This window comes from Homo sapiens, chromosome Y (genome assembly GCF_000001405.40).
Source record: "Homo sapiens chromosome Y, GRCh38.p14 Primary Assembly".
Taxonomy (NCBI): domain Eukaryota; kingdom Metazoa; phylum Chordata; class Mammalia; order Primates; family Hominidae; genus Homo; species Homo sapiens.
Window position 1 is genome coordinate 22,100,826 of NC_000024.10, and position 23,218 is coordinate 22,124,043.

At 46.4% G+C, this 23,218-nt stretch overlaps 1 long non-coding RNA gene across 1 annotated transcript in view; it reads right to left on the reverse strand.

Moving 5' to 3' along the window:
• Positions 1-866: 866 nt before the first annotated feature.
• Positions 867-23,218, reverse strand: part of LOC102725532 (uncharacterized) — a 45,849-nt gene continuing 23,497 nt past the window's right edge. The window contains exons 6-13 of the long non-coding RNA XR_001756092.1: positions 21,243-21,361; positions 20,459-20,812; positions 6,727-6,816; positions 4,925-5,260; positions 3,039-3,124; positions 2,722-2,918; positions 2,060-2,177; positions 867-1,544 (exon numbers count right to left, since the gene is read on the reverse strand). This is a non-coding gene — a long non-coding RNA (uncharacterized LOC102725532). The remainder of the gene's footprint in view (positions 1,545-2,059; positions 2,178-2,721; positions 2,919-3,038; positions 3,125-4,924; positions 5,261-6,726; positions 6,817-20,458; positions 20,813-21,242; positions 21,362-23,218) is intronic.

Consider the following 23,218-nt stretch of genomic DNA (forward strand, 5'->3'; position numbering starts at 1 on the left):
TCATCTCTCTGTGACCTTATTGCTGCTGACATTCTCTGTTCTAGAATGAAATCTCACGATGATAGAGGAATTCTCCTTCACGACGTGAAGCAGTTGCTTGGCTGGGAACTGAATTTGAGCTACATTTAAAAAGCCCTGCAGACAGGACTGCTGCTGTCTCTCCCTGGGTTGGCTGAAGGACGATAAAACACTGGGAGATGTCTGTTCTTGGGAGTGGTGTGGTCTTCTTTCTAGGAAAGTGGTTTTTGTTGGGAGAAGGAGGTGGTTTGTTACCTGGCAGGTCTCATCCTGCCTTAGACTTCATTACAGAGTCATAATCCATAGAAAAAGAAAGAATACAAAGCCCCGCAGCCTGAGACAATCCACTAAAAAGTTGGAAGACTTGAAAAAGGGGGGGCTGCAGTTCTTTAGCAAAATTGTTTTAAGCAGACTCCCCTTACACACACACACACACACACACACAGCCACACATACATGCAAACATCCAACACTCACAACACTCTCAACAGAAAAACAAAGCTTGGCAGATTCTCAGGCTTTGTGATTCTTCAGGAAGCCCCCCCTGGGAGACAGCCACCCCAGGAACAGAGGTATGCTTTACCTACAAATCACAGTGGGGCAAGTTTCAAAATGACTCACCCCTGCAACATCTAGGCAGGCATTAGAAATACTGCATGTCTTTTAAATCATTAGGAATGCTGCAGTTTATTCCTGAGGCTGCCCTTGAAGTTTCTTGAGGCTGGCTTCTGTCTGCCCTCTCCTAGCCTCATAGGACTATCCCATGCAATTTACATAGAAGACAGGTGAGAGTCCACTACCTATGCCCCTACATAGAGGTTTCCTCCCTCAATCCACATTGACTTGTCACTAGGCAATGGCGGCATTTATTGTGACACTAGCCAGAACTCCCAAACAGGCCTTTTGCACTGAGACTAGAGCATGAACATTTGCCAGGTAGATTCAAGTGCCTGGCTGTCAGAGCTGTCAGCCTGCCTAAGCAGAGGAAAATGATATAGACAGAGATGATCTGCTATCATGAAAAAGTCTGTCTGTGATAATCAACTGTCAGACCCTAAAATTATTGACCTTAGAGCCCCTTCGGGATGACTCTGTGGCTGAGACCCACTGAAGGAGGAGGCTTTTCCAAACTGAGATGGTCACTGAAAACTGCTCTTCTGGCTCCATTCGTGAAAGAGGCTGTGTGCAAGAATCAGGTCCCACGGAGATTGGAATATAGTCTGGTGAGTTGTTGAGGGGATTTTATGTGATGGAATCATACCTGAGATCCCAGAGGCAGCTTTCAGTGAATGGGGCTGGGCCCTTGACTTCCTTGCCTCCTATCATCCTTGTCCTGGCAGGAGATCTATGAGAAAGGCAGGAACCATGACAAAGGCAAGTCCAAAGTCAAGCAGTATTCTTACACATCAAACTGGCCTCTCACTGCTGCAGATGATGTTGAAAAATGTTCACAGAGGGTGTCTGTGGAAATTGCTAGTCTGACAAAGGTGTCCAGTAATGCTGTTGAGGGGCAAAGTGGACCCAGCCTGGAAAGAAAGAAAAATCAAGGCTTGCCAGAGAGAAGGAGCTGACCTGAGCTGGAATATAAGAAACTTTCAAAGATTCCTCTCAGAGGAACCAAAAGCCTCCCAAGAACTGCAAACAACCTCAGCTCTCACAAACAGACCACAGACCTTTCTGAAATCAGTGGCAGGAAATCTGTATATAGAGGCAGCCCTATCCAGCAACAATCAATGCTATACACCCTCCACAATGAGAAAGGATTTGCAGATGAAATAAAACAGAGTGTAAATTACCAGAAAAAAGCCAGACATGGCTGTCTGCTTCTCATCATACTGGAATTATGCAGCCTTTTGACAGAAGTGGGGAACAAGTGTTTCCCAAGGGCCGGACACGGTGGTTTATTCCAGTAATCCTAGAACTTTGGGAGGCTAAGGTGGGAGGATCATGAGGTCAGGAGATTGAGACCATCCTGGCTAAAATGGTGAAACCCCATCTCTACTAAAAGAACAAAAAATTAGCCAGGCATTGTGGCAGGTACCTGTAGTCCCAGCTACTCAGGAGGCTGAGGCAGGAGAATGGCATGAACCCGGGAGGCAGAGCTTGCAGTGACTGGAGATCATGACGCTGCACTCCAGCCCAGGCAACGGAGTGCAACTCTGTCTAAGAAAAAAAAAAAGGAATTTATCTGTTGGTGCCTGTAAAGGGAATTTATGGTTTTAAAAGTATCACAGCAGCTCTGTCATTAAAATGTGACAGTGTTTAGAAGGAAACACTGATGAAATACATTCCCATGAGGGTCATCCTCTGTGAACTGGGAAACATTTAGTGTGAAAGACATTTAGCAAGACCCAGGAAATTCTAGGCCAATGAAGAATATGAAAGTGAGGAAAAGAAAAGGCAAGTGTGGAGGCCATATCCCACACAGCATCATTCCATTCCACTCCCCCTTGGCTCCATGTACTGAAGCCCTCCAATAGGGAACTTGCCAGCATTGCCAAAGTTCACACTAACACTGTTTCCTGAAACTTGGAGTACTCACACCAGAAAACTGGGCCATGGTGTGGAATCCTTTTGCAATTAAGGGAATGCTTAAATGCAGTTGGAAGCACCTTCTGTGTCATCTGTTTTTACCATTTCTACAGGGGAAGGCATGGGACCCCATCTACCCTTCACCAGATTGTATCCTCACCCATATCTGACCTTATTGCTGCTCACACTCTGTGTCCCAGAATGAAATTCTAGGATGATGGAGGAGGGCCCCTTCACAACATGAAGCACCTGCTCATCTGGAAACCTAATTCGAGGTTAATTCAAGGGGCCCTGCAACATGACTGGTAGTGCCGTTTTTGGGTTGGCTGTAGGACAATAAACCATCCTCCAGCAATCATGCAGCTTTTCTGTAGAAGTGGGAGAACAAGAGTTTCCTTGTTTGTGGCTGTTGCAGGGATTTACAGTTTTAAAAGTATCGCTGCTGCCCAGTCATTAAAATACAACAGTGTTTAGGAGGAAATACTCACACAAGGGAATCCCATGAGGGTCATTTTCCATGAACTGGGAATGGTTGAGTTTGGAAGACATTGAGCCAGACCAAGGAAACTCTAGGCTGACGAGGAACATAGAAGTCAGGAAAAGAAGAGGCAAGTGTGGAAGCTACATCCCACCCAGTATCAATCCATCCCACTCGCATTTGGCTCCGTGTTTGAAAGCCCTCAAATTGAGAGTTTGCCAGGATGGCCCCAGTTTGCACTCCAAATATTCCCTGTGTGTTAGAGTACTCCCATCTGAAAATGGGGCCATGGTCTGGACTGCTTGTGATATTAAGGGAATAGAAGGCTGCAGTTGGAAATAACTTCTTTGTCATTTGTGTTCACCTTTTTTTCAGGTGAAGGCGTGGGACCCCATCAACCCCTCAACAGATTGTATCCTCAACCCTATCTGACCTCATTGCTGCTCACACTCTCTGACCCAAAGTGAAACCCCAAGATGATGGATTAGTGCCTCCGTACAAGGTGAAGCACCCGCTCAGAACCGAATTCGAGGTAAATTCAAGGAGCCCTGTGGACAATACTAGTGTCTATCACTGGGTTGGCCGCAGGATTAAAAAACACTGGGAGATGTCTGTTGTTGAATGTGGTGTGCTCCTCTTCTTTCTAAAAGAGAGACTGTTTTTCCAGGGAAAGGTGATTTGGACCTCTGCCAGCCTCCCAAATCACAATGGATTCATTATCCACAGAAAAACAGAGAACATAGAGCCCTGCAACCAAAGCATAACGACACCGACAGGCCACCAAAATGTTGGGAGACTTGAAAAATGAAGCACCACAGTGCGTTAGCCATATTTTTTTAAGCAGACTCCACTTACAGGTACACACACACACAAATACACAGACACAGGAAGCCACACACACACACGCACACACACAGATATCCAGCATTCTCAGTGCTCCCACAGCAACACCCAGCCCAGCAGTTCCTGGGTTGTGTGGGTCTGCAGGGAGCCCCACCTGGGAGAGAGCAACTATATGGAAAACAGGCTGTACCTAGGAATCACAGTAGGACAATTTTCCAAAAGACTCACCCCTACAATATCTAAGCAGACCTAAGGCATTCTGCAGATCTTTTTAGATCCTTATGGATTTCAGGGCTTATTCCTGGCTCTGCTTGATGTTATTTCAGCCTGGCTCACATCTGCCCTCTCCTGGGATCACGGGACTATCCCATGAATCCTACAGAGATGATAGGTGAGAGTCCAATGCCAATGCCCCTCCATGAAATTCTCCTTTTCCGCCAAGCCATAGAGACTTGTTGCTAGTCAATGTCAGCATTGATTGTAATGCTAGCCATAGTTCACATCTCATGCCTGTTGCCCTGATACTAGCACATGTCCATTTGTGAGGCAGGTGGTTGTGCCCAGCTCTAGGAGATGTCAGCCTGCCTAAACAGGAAAATGGTACAGACACAGCCGACCAGGTGTCAGAAATAATGTTGCCTGCGATAATTCACTGTAGAACTCTAAAATTTTGAGCTTAGGGCACCTTTGGGCCATCTCCGGGTAATTTCCTCTGGAGGAGGAGGCGTTTTGATACTGTGAGGTGGTTGCTGGAAAGTGCTCTTCTGACTCCACTCCTAAAAGAGGCTGTGTGCAGGAATCAGGTCCCATGGGTATTGGAAAATAGTCTGGCGATTGTTGAGACGTCTTTGCGTGATGGAATCATACCTGAGACCCCACAAGTGCATATCAGTGACAGATTACCAGGGCCTTGGCCCTGAAGATGAAAGTGTGGAGGCCACATGCCACCAGCATCAATCCCTCCCAATCCCAAACTGGCCCTGTCTTTGAAAGAGCAACCCCGGGGAATACAGGCAGCCTGTACCTGCAAATCACAGTTTTAAAAAGACTCACCCTGACAAAGTCCGGGAGGCCTTAGGCATCCTCCAGGTCCTTTTGGATCTGTAGGAGTTTTGCGGCTTATTCCTGGGGCTGTGCTTGACTTTTCTTCAGGCTGGCTCACCTCCTCCCTCTCCTAGCCTCATGGGACTATCACGGGAATCCCACAGAGAAATGAGGCGAGAGTCCACCACTGACTAACCTCCACAGAGTTCTTCTCCGCAAAGCCGCAGAGACTTATGCCTAGGCAATGGTGGCCTTCGTTGTGATGCTAACCCGAGCCCATAGCTCAGTCCTTGTGCCTAAGAGTATGCAGACTTGGGCGACGGGCTGTCAGAACTGTCAGCCAGCCTAAGCGAAAAAAAAGAAAAAAAAAATACATGAAGAGACGGCATGGTATTGAAAAAAATGCTGCCTGCAATAACCCAGAGTGGGACCATAAAAGTCTCGACCATAGTGTCCCTTTGGGTCATCCCTCTGCTCAGGTCCTGCTGGAGAAGGAGGTGATTTGAGACTATAAGGTGGTCTTTGGAAATGCTACTCTGACTCCATTCCCAAAAGAGGCTGTGTGCAACAGTCGGGTCAGATGGAGATTAGACTATAGTCTGGTGAGTTGTTGAGGGCTCTTTGGGTGGTGGAATCATACATGAGAGACCAGAGGTGGGTGTCAGCAAAAGATGGCTGGGCTCTTGACCTCACTGCCTCCCTTCATGCTGGGCCTTGCAGGGGATCTCTGGGAAAGGAAGGGACCATGAAAAAAGCAAGTCCAAGGCAGAGCAGTGTTCTCTCACCTCCAGCTGACCCCTAAAGGATTCAGATGAGGTTGAGACAGTGTTTCAGAGCCCGTCTGTGATGATTGCAAGCCTAAAAGGGGTTTCCAGTAGTGCTGTTGAGGGGCAATGTGGACCCATGATGAAAGTAAAGAAAAATCAAGGCCCTCTTGAGAGAACCACATGACTTGTGCTGGAGTCCAAGCAACATTCAAAGATTTCTGTCACAGGACGGTAAAGCCTCCTGCAAATTGCAAACAGCATCAGCTGCAACAACGAGACCATGACCCACAAGCTGGAGCACAGCCAGCCTACCCAAATTCCCTTTTGCTTTCAGAAATCCCTGGCAGCCAAAAGATTTGTGCTGAGAGGCACTCCCATCCAGAAACAGGCCAATGAAAGATCCCCTCCACAATGAGAAAGGACATATAGATGAAATGAAACAGAGTCTAGTTTACCAGGCAAAAGACAGAAATGGCTGCCTGCTTCTCATCCTAGAGGAACTGTGCAGCCCTCTGATAGAAGTGGGAGAACAACAGTTTCCTTGCTGGCTTCTGCAATGGGAGTTTACAGTTCTAAAATTATTACAACTCTCCAGTCATTAAAACTTGATATTGTTTAGAAGGAAATATTCACTCAGTGGATTCCCGTGAGTGTCGTCCTCCATGAACTCGGAAGTGTTTAGTTTGGAAGACATTGACCCAGACCAAGGAAACCCTATGCTGACCAGGAACACGGAAGTCAAGAAAACAAGAGGCAAGTGTGGAGGCCACATCCCACCCAGCATCTATCCGTCGCCCTCCCATTACGCTTCAGATATAAAAGCCCTCAAATCAGGACTTTGTCAGAATGGCCCCAGTTTGCACTCCAAATATTCCCTGAATATTGGAGTACTCCCACCTGAACAACAGGGATGGTGTGGACTGCTTGTGCAATTAAGGGAATTCGGGGATGTAGTTGGAAACACCTTCTGTGTCATCTGTCTTCAACTTTTTTGTAGGCTAAGGTGTGGGACCCCATCCACCCCTCAGCAGATTGTATCCTCACCTGTATCTGTCCTTATTGCTGTTCACACTCTCTGTTCCAGAAAAAAAATCCTGAAATGATGGAGGAGTTGCCCTTCATGACATGTAGAACCTGCTCTCCTGGGAAACAAATTCGAGGTAAATCCAAAGGGCCTTGTGAACAGCACTGCAACTGTCTCTTCCTGAGATGGCCGCATAACAATGAAAAACTTTGTGATGTCTGTTCTTAGGTGTGGTTTCCTCCTATTCTGTCTTGAAAAGTGACATTTTTTCAGCGGGAGGGGACTTGGACCCTGGTGTGTCACAGCCAGCATCTCAATTAACTGCAGATTAATGACCCACAGAAAAATAAAGAACATGCATCCCAAGTAAAGCAGCAGAGACAGACCACCGAAAGTTCTGGAGACTCAAAAAAAAAAATGCTACAGTGTGATAGCCACATTCCTTTAAGAAGACTCCACTTACAGACACACACACACACACACACAAACACACAATGCTACACACATGCAGACTTCCAACATTTGCAACACTGCCACAGAAACATACATCCTGGCAACTCCTGAAGCTGCATGGTTCTGTAGGAAGCCCCACATGGTATAGAGCAACCATGGACAACACAGCTGGGCTCTAACTAGAAATCATAGTGGGGCAAGTTTCAAAAAGACACCCCTACAATTCTTAGGTAGGCCTGAGGAATCCACTTCTGCCCTATCCTAGGATCATGGGACTATGTCGTAGATCCCACAGAGAAAAATAGCAGGAGTCCACTTTGCATGCATCCCCATGAATGTCTCCTTTTTCTGCCAAGTCACAGGGCCTTGTCGCTAGGCAATGATAACATTCATTGTGATGCTCAAAAAAGCTCACAATCAGGCCTGGTGCCCTGAAACTAGTGCATGCACATTCTGGAGGTAAGCTCAGGCACCTGGCTGTCAGATCAGTCAGCCTGCCTAACCAAGGAAAATGGTACAGGCAGAATCTGCCTGGTATCAGGAAAAAAGCAGCCTGTGAAAAACCATTGCTGGACCCAAAAAGCCTCCATCTCAGGGCCCCTTTGTCTGTCTCTGTGGTTGGGTCTCACTGGAGGAGAAGGCGTTTTGAGACTGTGAGGTGGTTTCTGGAAACTACTCTTCTTACTCCATTCCCAAAAGAGGATGTGTGCCAGAATTGGGTCCCATGGAAATCGTTTTATAGTCTGGTGTGCTGTTGAGGGGTTTTTGGGTGATAGAATCTGACTTCGTTGAGGGATTTTTGGGTAAAAGAATCATACTTGAGACCCCAGAGGCAGTTGTCAGCAAAAGATGGCCGGGCACTTGACCTGTTCTTACACATCAGACAGGCCTCTCACTGCTGCAGATGACGTTGAGACAGTGTCTCAAATGCCATCTGTAGCGATGACAAGTCCGAATAGTATGTGCAGTAGTGCTGTTGAGGGGCACTGTGGATTCCCCATGAAAGCAAAGAAAAATCTAGGCTCAAATGAGAGAACAAGCTGCCTTGTGCTGGAGTACAAGCAATGTTCAGTGATTCCTGTCTGAGGACCCAAAATCCTCCTGCAAATTGCAAACAACCTCAGCCTTGCCAACGAGACAACAACCACAATGCGGAACCCATCCAGCCTACATGAATTCCCTTTCACTCTCTAAAATCCCTGGCAGCTAATTCAACTGTAGTGAGAGGGATTCCCATCCAGGAAGAGCCCACTGAAAGAGCGCCTCCACAATGAGAAGGCCATGCAGATGAAATAAAACAAGCTAGATTATCAGGCAAAATCTAGACATGTTTGCCTGCTTCTCATCCTTCAGAAATCATGCAGCTTTCTGATACAAGTGGGAGAACAGGAGTTTCTGTTTTGGTGGCTATAACACAAATTTACAGTTTTAAAAATATTAAAGCTGTGCAATCATTAAAATGTGACAGTGTTTAGAAAGAACCACTCACGCAATGGATTCTAATGAGGGTCGTTCTTCATGAGCTGGGAAATGTTTACTGTGGAATTTGTTAAGCCAGACCCAGGAAACCCTAGGCTGACAAGGGACATGGAAGTCAGGAAAAGAAGAGGCAAATGTGGAGACCACATCCCACCCAACATCAGAACATTCCACTCCCTTTTGGCTCCGTGTAGGAAAGGCCTCAAATCAAGAGCTTGCCAGCATGGTCCCAATTGGCACTCCCAATACTCCTTGCACATTGCAGAACTTCCACCTGAACATTGGGCCATGGTGTGGATTGCTTGTGCAATTAATGAAACGTGAGCATGGGGTTAGAAGCACCTCCTGTGTCATTTGTCTTCATTTTTATTGCAGGTGAAGTTGTGGGATCCCTTCCACTTCTCATCAAATCATATCCTCACTCCAATCTCACCTTATTCCTTCTTATACTCAGTGTCCCAGGATGAAAACCCAAGATGATGGAGAAGTGCCCCTTCATAACACAAAACACCTGCATAGCTGGAAACTGAATTCATGGTCAACTCAAGGGGACCTGCAGACAGGACTGCTAGTTCCTCTCCCTGGGTTGGATGCAGGACAATGAAACGGTAGCAGGTGTCCATTTTTTGGGTGTGGTGTGCTCTTCTTCTTTCTAGCAGAGTGGATTTTTATTTTTATTTTATGTTTATTAATTAATTTATTTATTTATTTTTGCAGGGGGAGGGATTTGGACACCAGCAGGTCTCAGCCTGCCTCCCAATTCACTGTGGATTCATGATAACCAGAAAATTCAAAAACATGGAGCCCCACAGGCCAAGCAGAGCACACATAAAGGTCAAACAAAAGGTTTGGAGGCACAAAAAAAGAAGCGTTGTATTGCAGGATCTGGCCAGAAGCCCACAATGCAATGGAGTTCTCTCTTTGTTCCTAGGTGGATTGGCAGGTTGAGAAATAATAGACACACACAAGATAGTGAAAGCTGGGTCCAGGGGGGTCACCGCTTTCTGGTCCTGTGGTGCCAACAATGCACTGGATATACCAGCATTTATTATTAAGTGTAGTGAGGGCAGGTGTAGGTTAGTGAGGGATTTAGGGTCATTTCATTATAAGGTGAGATGGTCACATGGGGATGAAGTAATTCTTTAACATAGCATTTGTATGTACAAGTACAGTACATTTTTTATGTAGAAGTACAGTATACAGAGAGATAAGAATTTACAATATAGTGTGTGCATCAGTAATTTCTAACAGAGCCTTAGAACAGAAACACAGTCTTTCCATAACCTATGATTAGCAAGATATTAATCAGCAGTAACAATTGCAACAAAGCTGGTTACAAACAATCCATGGAAACAAGATGTGAAGCTAGACAACCAGTTAGACCAGAAATTCTCAGAAAGGAGTATGCCTTAACCCTAAAGAGGCCTAGAAGAGCCGTGGCAAGATGAGGGCATTTATAGCCTTATCTTATCCATATGGACAGGCGCCCCCCATGTGTCCATTTATAGGCTCTCTATGAGGATTGCATTCCATTCCCAGAGCTACGGACATCTGCTTTTCTGGGACAGGAGTCTTGGTGATGTGAAACCTGACTGCATGTCCATTCATAGGGTCTCTGCAGGGGGAAGCACATCACGTGCTGTTGGCTCATTCTGGCAGTCCAATCTGGCATTGTCTTTACACAATCCTGCATGCAACTTTGTATTTACAATAATCAGGTCATTTCATCTTTTATTCTGTAGTAATAGTTTCATGGGGTCTCCCTACAGTGGTGAAGTGTGGTAGCCACATTTCTTTAAGAAGCCTGCACTTACAAGAGCACACACACACACAAAATCACGATGTGACACACACGTAGACTTCCAACACTCCCAACATTCCCACAGAAACACACAGTCTGGCAGCTCCTGAGGCTGTGTGGTTCTGCAGGAAGCCACATCTGGCATAGAGCAAGCCTGGGGAACACAGGCGGGCTGTAACTAGAAATCACAGTGGGGCAAGTTTCAAGAAGACTCACTCACACCTACAAGGTCTAGGCAGCCCTAAGGTATCCTGCAGATCCCTTTGGATTCCTAAACATTTTGTGGTTTATTCCTGGGGCTGTGCTTATGTTTCCTGACTCTGGCTCTCATCTGAAATCTCCTAGGATCATGGGACTATCCTGCGGATTCCACAGAGAAGACAGGCAACAGTCCACCATTGACGAACCTCTACAAAGGTCTCCTTCTCTGCCAAGAGGAAGGTACTTGTCTCTAGGCAATGGTGACATTCTTTGTGATGCTAGCTAGAGCTCACAATCTGGCCTGGAGACTAGTGTATGTGCATTTGTGAAGTAGGCTCAGGCACCCAGCTCTCAGAACTGTCAGCCTTCCTAAGCAGAGAAAAATGGTAGAGGCAGAGCTGGCCTACCATCAGGAAAAATGTTGCTTGTCAAAAACCACTTCAGGACTCCAAAACTCTCAGCCTCAGGGCCCCTTCAGGCATCTTCTGTGGTCAGGTCCTGCTGGAGGAGGAGGTGTTTCAAAACTGTGAGGTTGTCACTGGAAACTGCTCTTCCAGCTTCATTCCCATAGAAGGCTGTGTGCCAGAATCGAATACCATGGGGAATGGAATCTAGTCCAGTGTGTTGTCAGTGTGTTGTTGAGGGTTGTTTGGGTGATAGAATCATACTTAAACCCCAGAGGCAGCTATCAATGAAAGATGGCCGGATTCTTGACCTCACTGTCTCCCTTCATCCTGGGTCTTTTAATAGTTCTTTGGGAAATGAAGGAACCATAACAAAGCCAAGTCCAATGTGGAGCAGTACTTTGGGCTGGCCTCTCATGGATGCAGATAAAATTGAGACCGTGTCTCAGAGGTTGCCTGTGGTGATGGCAAGCCTGACAAAACTGTCCAGTGGTGCTATTGAGGGAAACTATGGATTCAAAATGAAAGCAAATGAAAATCAATACTGGCCTGAGAGAATGGGCTGCCTTGTGCTGGAGCCCAAGAAATGTTCAATATTTCCTGTCAGAGGACCCAAAACCCTGCTGCAAAGTGCAAACAACCTCAGTCACCACAATGAGATAACGACCCAAACCTGCAGCGCAGCCAGCCTGCCCAAAGACCTTTTTGCTTTATGAAATCCCTGGCAGCTAAATAATTTGTGATGAGAGGCAGCCCAATACAGCAGCAGCCCAATAAAAAAACACTTCCACAATGAGAAGGTGGTGCAGATGAGACGAAACAAAGGCTAGATTACCAGACAAAAGCCAGACATGGCTGCCTGATTTTCATTCTTCAGAAATCATGCAGCCCTCCAATGGAAGAGGGAGAACAAGAGTTTTCTTGTTGGTGGCTGTAATGAGAATTTATAGTTTTAAAAGTGTCTAAGATTCCCAGTCATTAAAATGTGACTGTGAGAAGGAAACACTCCTGCAATGGATTCCCATGAGGGTTGCTCTCTTTGAACTGGGTAATGTTTAGTGTGGAAATTCTTGAGCCAGTCATAGAAAATGCTAGGCCAATGATGAACATGGAAGTCAGGAAAAGAAGAGGCAAATCTAGGGGCCACATCACACAGAGCACCAATGCATTCCGCTCCCATTTGGCTCTGGATATGAAAGCCCTCATATAAGGAGTTTGTCAGAATGGCCCTAATTTACATACCAAAAGTTCCTGGTAGGTTGGAGTACTTGCACCAGAAACCAGGTCATGGTGTGGACAGCTGGTGCAATTAAGGGAATGCGGGGATGGTGTTGGAAGCACCTTCTGTGTCATCTGTCTTCCTTTTTATTTTTGCAGGTTAAGTTGTGGGACTCCATCCACCCCTCAGCAGGTTTTATACTCACCGCATCTGACCTTATTTCTGCTCACATTCTATGTCACAGGATAAAATCCCAAGACAATGGAAGTGGACCCCTTCATGACATGAAGCACGTGATCGAATTCAAGGTAAATTCAAGGTGCCCTGCAGACAGGACTGCTAGTGTCTCCCCCTTGGTTGGCCACAGGATGATAAAACACTGGGATATGTTCGTTTTTTGTGTGTGTGGTGTGCTCCTCATCTTTCTAGAGAGGGCCTTTTTTTTCAGGGGGAGGTAATTTGGATGCTGGGGGGTCTCAGGCCACCTCCCAATTCACTAAGGATTCATGATCAACAGAAAAATAAAGAACATGGAGCCCTGCAGCTCCAGCAGAGCCACATAGACAGGCCAAGAAAAGATAGGAATCTAAAAAACAAAAAAAAAAAAGAAGCACTGAAGTGTGTTAGCCCCATTCCTTTAAGGTGGCTCCACTTATGGGCACACACACACACAAACACACACAGACACACACACCCACACATCCAACATTTGCAACACTCCCACAGAAACACACAGCCTGGCAGCTCTAGAGGCTGCATGGTTCTTCATGAAGCCCTACCTGGGAGACTGCAATCCTGGGGAAAAAATGGGGGCTGTACTAGTTATCACAGTGGGGCAGTTTCTAGGAGACTCATTTCTACAACAATTTCATGGACCTGATAAATCCTGCAAATGCTTTTGGATCTTTGGGGATTTCACAGTTTATTCCTTGGGCTGTGCTTGAAGTTTTTCAGACTGGCTCATGCCTGTCCTCTCTTAGGATCTTGGGACTATCCCATGGATCCCACAGTGAAGACAGGCAAGAGTACACCACTGATGCACCTTCACAGAGGCCTCTTTCTCAGCCAAGCAGCAGGGACTTGTCACTAGGCAACGATGACATTTAATGTGACACTAGCCAAAGCTCACAATCAGGCCTGGTGCCCTGAGACAAGTGTATGCATATTTGTGAGGTCAGTTTGGGAACTCTTCTGTCAGAGCTGTCAGCCTGCCTTAGCAGAAAAAGGGTACAGGCAGAGCCAGTTTGGTATCATGAAAAAGGCTGCTTGAGAAAATCCACTCTGGGACATTAAGAGTCTCAACCTCAGGGCCCCTTTTGGCCATCCCCATTTTCAGGTTTCTCTGGAGGGGGAGGTGTTTCAAGACTGTGAGTTAGTTCTGTAAACTGCCCTTCTGAATCCATTTTCAAAAGAGGTTGTGTGCAAGAATCAGCTCACATGGGGATTGGAATATTGTGTGGCGTGTTGTTGAGAACTCAGATGCAGGTGTCAGTGAAAGATGGCTGTTTTCTTGACCTCACGGCCTCCCTTCATCCTGGTCTTTGCAGGGGCTCTCTGTGAAAGGCAGGAACCACGACAAAGGCAAGTCCAAAGTAAAGCAGTGTTCTGACACCTGGGACTGGCCTCTCACGGGTGCAGATGACGTTGAGACAGAGTCTCAGAGGCTGTTTCTGGTTATGGCAAATCTGAAAAGGGTGTCCAGTACTATTGTTGAGGAGCACTGTGGATTCCGCATGAAAGCAAAGAAAAATCAACTCTCACCTGAAAGAATGAGCTGCCTTGTGCTGGAGTCCAAGCAGTGTTCAATGACTCATTTCAGAGGACCCAAAAGCCTCCGACAAAGTGCAAACAACCTCAACACCCACAGCAAGACAACGACACATAACCTGGATCTCAGCCAACCCACCTGAAGTCCCTTTGGCTCTCAGAAATCTCTGGCAGCTAAATAATCTGTGGCAAGAAGCCATTCCATCCAGCAACAGCCCAATGAATTAGCCCCTCCATAATGGGACAGCCATGCAGAAGAAATAAAACAGAAGCTAGATTACCAGGCAAAAGCCAGAAATGGCTGCCTGCTTCTCATCCTACAGGAATCCTGTAGCCCTCGATAGAAGTGGGAGAACAAGAGTTTCCTTACTGTTGGCAGTAATGGGCATTTATGTTTTTAAAAGTATCAAATCTCCCCAGTATTTAAAACATGATAGTGTATAGAAGGAAACATTCACGCAATGGATTCTTATGGGGCTTGTTCTTAGTTAACTGGGAAATGTTTAGTATGGAAGTCATTGAGCCAGACCCAGGAAACCATATGCCAATGAGAAACATGAAAGTCATGAAAAGAAGAGGCAAGTCTGGAGGCCACATCCCACCCAGCATCAATCCATTCCATTCCCATTTGACTCCAGGTAAGAAAGCCCTCAAATCAGGAGTTTTCCAGGATGGCCCAAATTTGCACTCCAAATAGTTCTTTTGCTTTGGAATACTCCCACCTGAATACTGGGCCATGGTGAGGACTGCTTGTGCAATTAAAGTGACGGAAATGGAATTGAAAGCTCCTTTTGTGTCGCCTGTATTCATAGTTTTTTGCAGATGGAGTTGCAGAACCCCATCCAAACCTTACCAGATTGTGTCCTCACCCGTATCTGACTTTATTGCTGTCACACTCTCTGTTCCAGCATGAAATCTCAAGTTGATGGAGGAGTGCACCCACAGGACATGAAGCACCTTCTTGGCTGGAAACTGAATTCTGGGTAAATTCAAGAGGTTATGGGGACCAGAGTGCTACTGTCTCTGGGTTGGCTGCATTATAGTGAAACATTGGGAGCTATCTGTTCTTGGGTGTGATGCTCTCCTCTTCTTTCTAGAGGAGTGCCTTTTTTTTTCAGGGGCAGATAATGGGGAACCCAGCTTGTCACAGACTGCTTAACTAGTCATTGCTGATTCATGATCCACAGAAAAATAAAGAACAGGGAGCACCACAGTCCAAGCAGAGACACACAGACAGGCCACCAAAAGGTTGGGAGAATAAAAAATAAAAAAGCACTGCAGTGTGTTAGTTACATTCCTTTAAGCCGAATTCACTTACATGCACACACACAGACACACACACATAAACACATAAAGCCACACACACATGCAGACATCCAACACTTGCAATACTCCCGCAGTAACACACAGCCCAGTAGCTTCTGAGGCTGCTTCATTCTGCAGGAAGCCCCTCCTGGGAGAGAGAAAGCTTGGAAAACAAAGGAAGGCTAAACTTAGAAATTACAGTGGGACACATTTCAATAAGACAAACTGCTACAATGTCTAGGCAGGCCTGAAGAATTCTGCAGATCCTTTTGGATCTGTACGGATTTTGTGCTTTATTCCTGGGGCTCTGCTTGACATTTCTTCAGGCAGGCTCACATCTGCCCTCTCCTAGGATCATGGGACTAGCCCATGGATCCCACGGAGAAGACAGGTGAGAGTCTACTGCCGATGCACCTCCACAGAGATCTCCTTCTCCATCAAGCCAAAGAGAATTGTCACTAGGCAAAGGTGGCATTCATTGTAATGCTAGCCAGAGCTCGCAGCTCAGGCCCATTGCCCTAAGACTAGCACATCCACATTAGTGACTCAAATTAGAGCACCAGGGTGTCAGGGCTGTCAGCCTGCCTAAGCAGAGGAAAATGGTACACACAGAGTTGGCCTGGTATCAGGAAAAAGGCTGCCTGTGATAACCCATTGCAGGATCCTAAAAGTCTCAACCTTAGGGCCCTTATACGCTGTCTCCATGGTCAGGTCACACTGGAGGCAGAGCCATTTCAAGACTGTGAGGTTGTCACTGGAAACTACTCTTCTGACTCCATTCCTGAAAGAGGCTTTGTGCAAGAATCCTGTCCCATGGGGATTGGAATATATTACGGTGAGATGTTGAGGGTTCTTTGGGTGATGGGCTCTTACTTGAAATACCAGAAAAAAGTTGTCAGTGAAAGATGGCCTGGCCTTGACCTCACTGCATTCCTTCATTCTGGGTTGCTCAGGTGCTATCTGGGAAAAGCAGGAACCATGACAAAGGCACGTCCAAATTGAAGCAATGTTCTCAGACCTCGAACTGGTCTCTCACAGGTGCAGATGAGGTTCAGACAGTGTCTCAGAGGCCACCTGTGGAGATTGCAATCCTGAAAAGTGTATCCAGTAGTGTGGTTGAGGGGCAATGTGAATCCCCCATGAAAGCCAAGAAACATCAAGCATCACCTGAAAGAAAGAGCTGACTTGTGCTGGGGTCCAAGCAACATTTCCATATTCCTGTCACAGAAAGAAGAAGCCTCTTTCAAAATGCAAACAACCTCAGCTCCCACAAGATAATGATTGAAAACCCAACGTGCAGCCAGTCTACTCTACAACGATTTTTCTTCCTGAAATTCCTGGCAACGAAAATATCTGTGGCAAGAGGCAGTCCCATCCAGCAACAGGCCAATGAAAGAGCCCATCCACAAAGAGAAGGATGAGCAGATGAAATGAAGCAGAGGCTATATTACCAGGCTAAATCTAGACACGGCTGCCTGCTTCTCATCATACAGGAATCATTCAGCCCTCTGATAACAGAGGGAAAAGAAGAGTTTCCTTGTTGGTGGCTGTAATGGGAATTTACCGTTTAAAGGTATCAAAGCTGCCCAGTCATTAAAATGTGAAAGTGTTTAGAAGAAAACACTCACTCAATGGATTTCCATGAAGGTTGTTCTCCATGAACTAGGAAACATTTAGTGTAACAGTTGTTGAGGCAAACCCAGGAAACCACAGGTCAATGAGGAACATGCAAGTCAGGAAAAGAAGAGGCAAGTTTGGAAGCCACATCCCACCCAACATCAATTCATTCCAGTCGCATTTGGCTCTCAGATTGAAATCCTTCAAATCAGAAGTTTGCCAGGATGTCCCCAATTTGCACTCAAAATGTTCCTTGCACGTTGCTGTGCTCCAATCTGAAGCTGAGTTATGGTGTGGACTACTTCCGCAATTAAGGGAATGAGGGGATGGAGTTGGAATCACCTTCTGTGTCATCTGTCTTCATTTTTTTTTTCAGATGAAGTTCTGGGGCTCCCTCCACCCATCACCAGATTGTATCCTCACTCCTATCTGACCTTATTCCTGCTCATACTGTATGTCCTGGGATGAATGCCCAGATGATGGAGGAGTGCCCTCTCATGACCTGAAGAACCTGCTCAGCAGTGAAACTGAATTCGTGGTATGCCCGTTTTTTGGTGTGGTGTGCTCCTCTTCATTCTAGAAGGGTGGCTTTTTTTTTTTTTTTTTTGCAGTGGCAGGTGACTTGGACACTGGCAGGTCTCAGCCCACCTCTCAGTTCACTGCGGATTCATGATCCACAGAAAAATAAATAACATGGAGCCCCACAGCCCAAGCAGAGCCACACAGACAGGCCACCAAAAGTTTGCAAGACTCAAAAAAAACCAAGCGCTGAAGTGTAGTAGCCACATTCTTTAAGCAAACTCCACTTACAAACACACACACACACACACAAAACAATGTCACACACCCATGCCAACATCCAACTCTCACAACACTCTTTCAGAAACACAGTTTGTCAGCTCCTGTGGTTTTGTGGTTCTGCAAGAAGCTAACCTGGGATAGGCAACCCCAGGGAATACAGGTGGGCTGTTCCTAGAAATCACAGTGCTGCAACTTTCAAAAAGACTCACACCTACAAAGTCTAGGCAGGCCTAAGTTATCCTTCAGATTTTTTTGGATCCTTAGGGATTTTGAGGTTTATTCCTCGTGCTGTGGTTGACGTTTCTTCAGGACGGCTCTCATTTGCCCTCTCATAGGCTCATGGGACTATCCTGTGGATTCCACAGAGAAGACAGATGAGAGTTCACCAACCACGCAGCTCCATGTATGTCTTTTTCTCTGCCAAGATGAAGGGACTTGTCACTAGCCAGCAATGACAATCATTGGGATGCTCACTAAAGCTCAGTAACAGTCTTGGTGCCCTGAGACTTGTGCATGCACATTCATGAGGCAGGCAGGCTTGGGCACCTGGCTGTCAGACCTGTCAGCCTACCAAAGCAGAGGAAAATAATACAGGCAGAGCTGGCCGGTATTGAGAAAAATGCTGCCTGTGAAAACCCACTGCAGGACCCTAAAACTCTCAATCTAAAGACCCTTTCTGGCCATCTCTCTGGTCAGGTCCTACTGGAGGAGGAGGTGTTTCCAGACTGTGAGGTGGTCACTGGAAACCTTCTGAATCCATTCCCAAAAGAGGCTGTGTGCCAGAAATGGGTCCCATGGTGATTGGAATATTGTCTGGTGTGTTGTTGAGGGTTCTTTAAGTGATAGATTCATACCTGAGACCCCAGTGGTGGATGTGAGCAAAAGATAGCCTGGCACTTGACCTCATTGCCTCCCTTTATTTTGGGCCTTTCAGGGGCCCTCTTTGAAAAGCAGGAACCACGGCAAGGCAAGTCAAAGGTAAAGCAGTGTTCTCACACCTCATACTGGCCTCTCAGGGGTGCTGATGAGATTCAGATGGTGTCTCAGAGGATATATGTGGTGATGGCAACTCTGAAGAAGGGTGTCCAGTAGTGCTGTTGAGGGGCACTGTTGAATCCCCATGAAAGCAAAAAAAAAAAAAAAATTCACTGCTCACCTGAGAGAACAAGCTTCCCTGTGCTGGAGTCCAAGTAATGTTCAATAATTCCTGTCAGAGGACCCAAAATCCTCCTGGAAAATGTAAACAACCTCAGCTCCCACAATGAGAAAAGCACCACAAGCTAGAGTGCAGCCAGCCTACCCAAAGTCCCTTTTGCTCTCTCAAATCCCTGGCAGCCAAAAGATGTGTGGTGAGGGGCAGTTCCATTCAGCAACAGCCCAGTGAAAGAGACCCTCCCCAATTAGAAGGCCATGCAGACAAGGTGAAACAGAGGCTAGATTACAAGGTCAAAGCAGACATGGCTGTCTTCTTCTCACTTTTCGGGAATCATTCAGCCCTCTGATAGAAATGGGTGAACAACAGTTTCCTTATGATGGCTGTAATGAGAATTTATGGTTTTAAAAAATTCAAAGCTGCACAGTCATTGACACATGACAGTGTTTAGAAAGAGGCAGTAAGACAGTGAATTTTCATAAGGCCCATTCTCTGTGAATTCTGAAATGTTTAGTGTGGAAGTCGTTGAGTCAGACCCTAGGCTCAGCCTAGGAAATCCTAGGCTGATGAGGAACATGGAAGTCAGAAAAGAAGAGGCCAGTGTGGAGGCCACATCCCACACAGCATCAACCCATTCCACTCCCATTTGCCTCTGGGTGTAAAAGGCCTCAAATCCAGGGTTTACCAAGATGGCTTCAATTTGCAGTCCAAATGTTTTTTGCACATTAGAGTACTCCCACCTGAACACTGGGCCAAGGTATGGACAGCTTGTGTAATTAAGGAAATGCAGGGATGGAGTTTAAAGAAGGATCTTTGTCATTTGTATTTATTTTTTTTTTGCAGATGAATTTGCAGAGCCCCATCCACTCCTCACCAGATTGTATCCTCACCCATATCTGAATTTCTCCCTGCTCATATTCTATGTCCCAGGATGATATCCCAAGACAAAGGAGGAGTGCCCCATCATGACATGAAGAACCGCTCAGCTGGGAGCCAAATTCGATGTAAATTCAGGGGTTTCTGCAGAGGACTGCTAGTGTTTCTTTCTGGGTGGGACACAGGACAATGAAACACTGGGAGATGTCTGTTTTTTGGTGTGGTGTGCTTCTCTTCTTTACAGAAGTGTGGTTTTCTTTGCAGGGGCAGGTGATTTGGACATTGGCAGGTCTCTGCCCACCTCTCAATTTGCTGCAGACTCATGATCCACACAAAAATAAATAACACAAAGCCTCACAACTGAAGCAGAGCCACACAGACAGGCCAACAAATGATTGGGAGACTCAAAAAAGATGAAGCCCTGGAGTGTGTTTGCCACATTCCTTTAAGCAGAAGTGACTTACAGGCGCACACACACACACACACACACACACACACAAAATACCACACACACAGGCAGACATCCAACACTTGCAAGAATCCTGAAGAAACACACTGCTTGTTAGCTTCTGACGCTGCATGGTTTTGCTAGATCCCCTTTTGGGAGACAGCAACCCAGGGGAACATGCAGGCTGTAACTAGAAATCACAATGGAACAAGTTTGAAAAAGACTCACCCCTACAACATCTAGGCAGGCCTGAGGAATCCTGCAGATCTTTTGGATCCTTAGGGATTTTGCAATTTATTCCTGGGCCTCTGTTTGATGTTTCTTTTGGCTGGCTCACATCTACTCTCTCGTAGGATCATGGGACTATCTCTTGGATCCCACAGAGAAGACAGGCAAGAGTCCACAGCCGACATACCTACAGGGAGGTCTCCTTCCTCAAGAGGCAGGAACTTGTCTCTAGGCAATGATGACATTCATTGTGATGCTAGCCAGAGCTCACAATGAGGACTGGTGTCCTGAGACTAGTGCATATGCATTCCTGAGGCAGGTACAGGCACCTAGCTGTCAGAGCTATCAGTCTGCCTAAGAAGAGAAAAATTGTGCAGGTAAAGTCAGTCTGGTCTTGGGAAAAAGGTTTCCCATGAGAAACCACTGTCAGACCCCAAGGTCTCGACCTCAGGGCCCCTTCTGGCCATCTCCATGGTCGAGTCTTGCTGGAGGAGGAGGCATTTTGAGACTCTGAGGTGGCGACTAGAAACTGCTCTTCCTACTCCATTCCGAAAGGATGCTTTTTGCAAGAATCCCATCCCATGAGAATCAGAATTTGGTCTGGTGTGTTGTTGAGGGTTCTTTGGGTGACAGAATTATACCTGAGATCCCAGAGATGGGTGTCAGTGAAAGATGGCTGGGCTCTTTACCTCACTGTCTCTCTCCACCCTGGGCCTTGCTGGGGCCCTCCACAAAAGGCAGGAACCATGACAAAGGGAATTCCAAAGAGGGCCAGTGTTCTCACCTCGATCTGGTCTCTCATGGGTGCAGATGAGGTTCAGACAATATCTCAGATGCCCTCTGTGGTGATGGCAAGCCTGAAACTGGTGAACAGTAGTGCAGTTGAGGGGCACTGTGGATTCCCTATGAAAGCAAAGAAACATCAAAGCTCACTTCAGAAAATGACTTGCCTTGAGCTTGCATCCAAGCAATGTTCAATGATTCCAGTCAGAGTATCCAAAAACCTTCTGCAGACTGCAAACAACTTTAGCACTCACAATGACACCACAAACTACAACCTGGATGAAGTCAGCCTACCCAAAGTCCCTTTTCATCCTTGAAATCCCTGACAGCCAATTGGTCTGTGGTGAGAGGCAACCCCATCCAGCAACAGCCCAATGAAAGACCTCATTCGCATTGAGAAAGGACTGGCAGATGCAATGAAACAGGGGCTAGATTACCAGGCAAAAGCCCAACACAGCTGCCTGCTTTTCATGCTAGAGGAATCATGCAGCCCTCTGATAAAAGTGGGAGAACAAGAGTTTCTTTATTGGTGGCTGTAACGAAAACTTACAGTGTTAAAATTATCACATCTTTCCAGTCTTTAAAATGTGACAGTGTTTAGAAGAAAACACTCATGCATTGGATTCCCATGAAGGTCATCCCCCATGAACTGTGAATTGCTTAGTGTGGAAGATGTGGAGCCAGACCCAGGAAGCCCTAGGCCGATGAGGAACATGGAAGTCAGGAAAAGAAGAGACAAGTGTGCAGGGCACATCCCACCCAGCATCAACACATCCCACTCTCATTTGGCTCAGGGTATGAGAGCTCTCAAATCGGGAGCTTGTTAGAACCGCCCCAGCTTGCACTCCAAATGTTCCCTCAACATTGTATTACTCCCACCTCAACACCAGGACATAATATGAACTGCCTGTGTAATTAAGGGAATGTGGGCATGCAGTTGGAAGTACCTTCTGTGTCATCTGTCTTCACCGTTTTTGCAGGAGAATGTGCTGAACTCTATTTACCCCTCACCAGATTGTATCCTCACCCCTATTTTACCTTGTTACTTCTCACACTCTCTGTCCCAGAATGAAATCACAAGATGATGGAGGAGTGCCATATGAGGACATGAAGCACCTACTCAGCTGAGAACAGAATTCAAAGTAAATTCAAAGGTCCCTTCACATAGGACTGCTAGTTTCTCACACTGGGTTGGCTGCAGAACAATGAAACACAGAATGAAACACATTGTTTTGGGGTGTGATGTGCTCCTCTTCTTTCTAGAAGAATGGCTTTTTTTGCAGGGGGAGGTAACTTGAACCTATGCCTCTCTCAGACAGTCTCCTAATTCACTGCAAATTCATAGTCCACAGAAAAATAAGGGACACAGAGCCCTGCAACTCAAGCAGAGCCACACCAACAGGCCACCAAAAGGTGTGGAGTTTCAAAAAAAGGAAGCGATGCAGTGTGTTATCCACATTCCATTAAGCAGACTCCACTTAGCCACACACTAACACATAAACACACACACACAAAGCCACACAAACACGGAGATATCTAACACTTGCAACACTTCCACAGAAGAACACAGCATGGCAGGTTCTGAGTTTGCGTGGTCCTGCAGGAAGCCTTAATTGAAAGACAGGAACTTTGGGGAACACAGGTGGGCTGTAGTTAGAAATCAAAGTGGGGTAGGTTTCAAAAGACTCACTGCTACAACATCTAGGCATGCCTGAGACATCCCGCAGATCTTTTAGATCCTTATGAATTTTGTGGTTTATTCCTGAAGCTCTGCTTGATGTTTCTTCAGGCTTGTTCATATCTGCCTTCTTCTAGGATCATGGAACTATCTTGAGGATCCACAACTCCACAGAGGTCCCCTTCTCTGCCAAGATGTGTAGACTTAGGCCACTGTGGCATTCATTGTGATGCTAGCCAGAGCTCAAAACTAAGGCCTCGTGCCCTGAGACTAGCAAACGTGCATTTGTGTGGATGGCT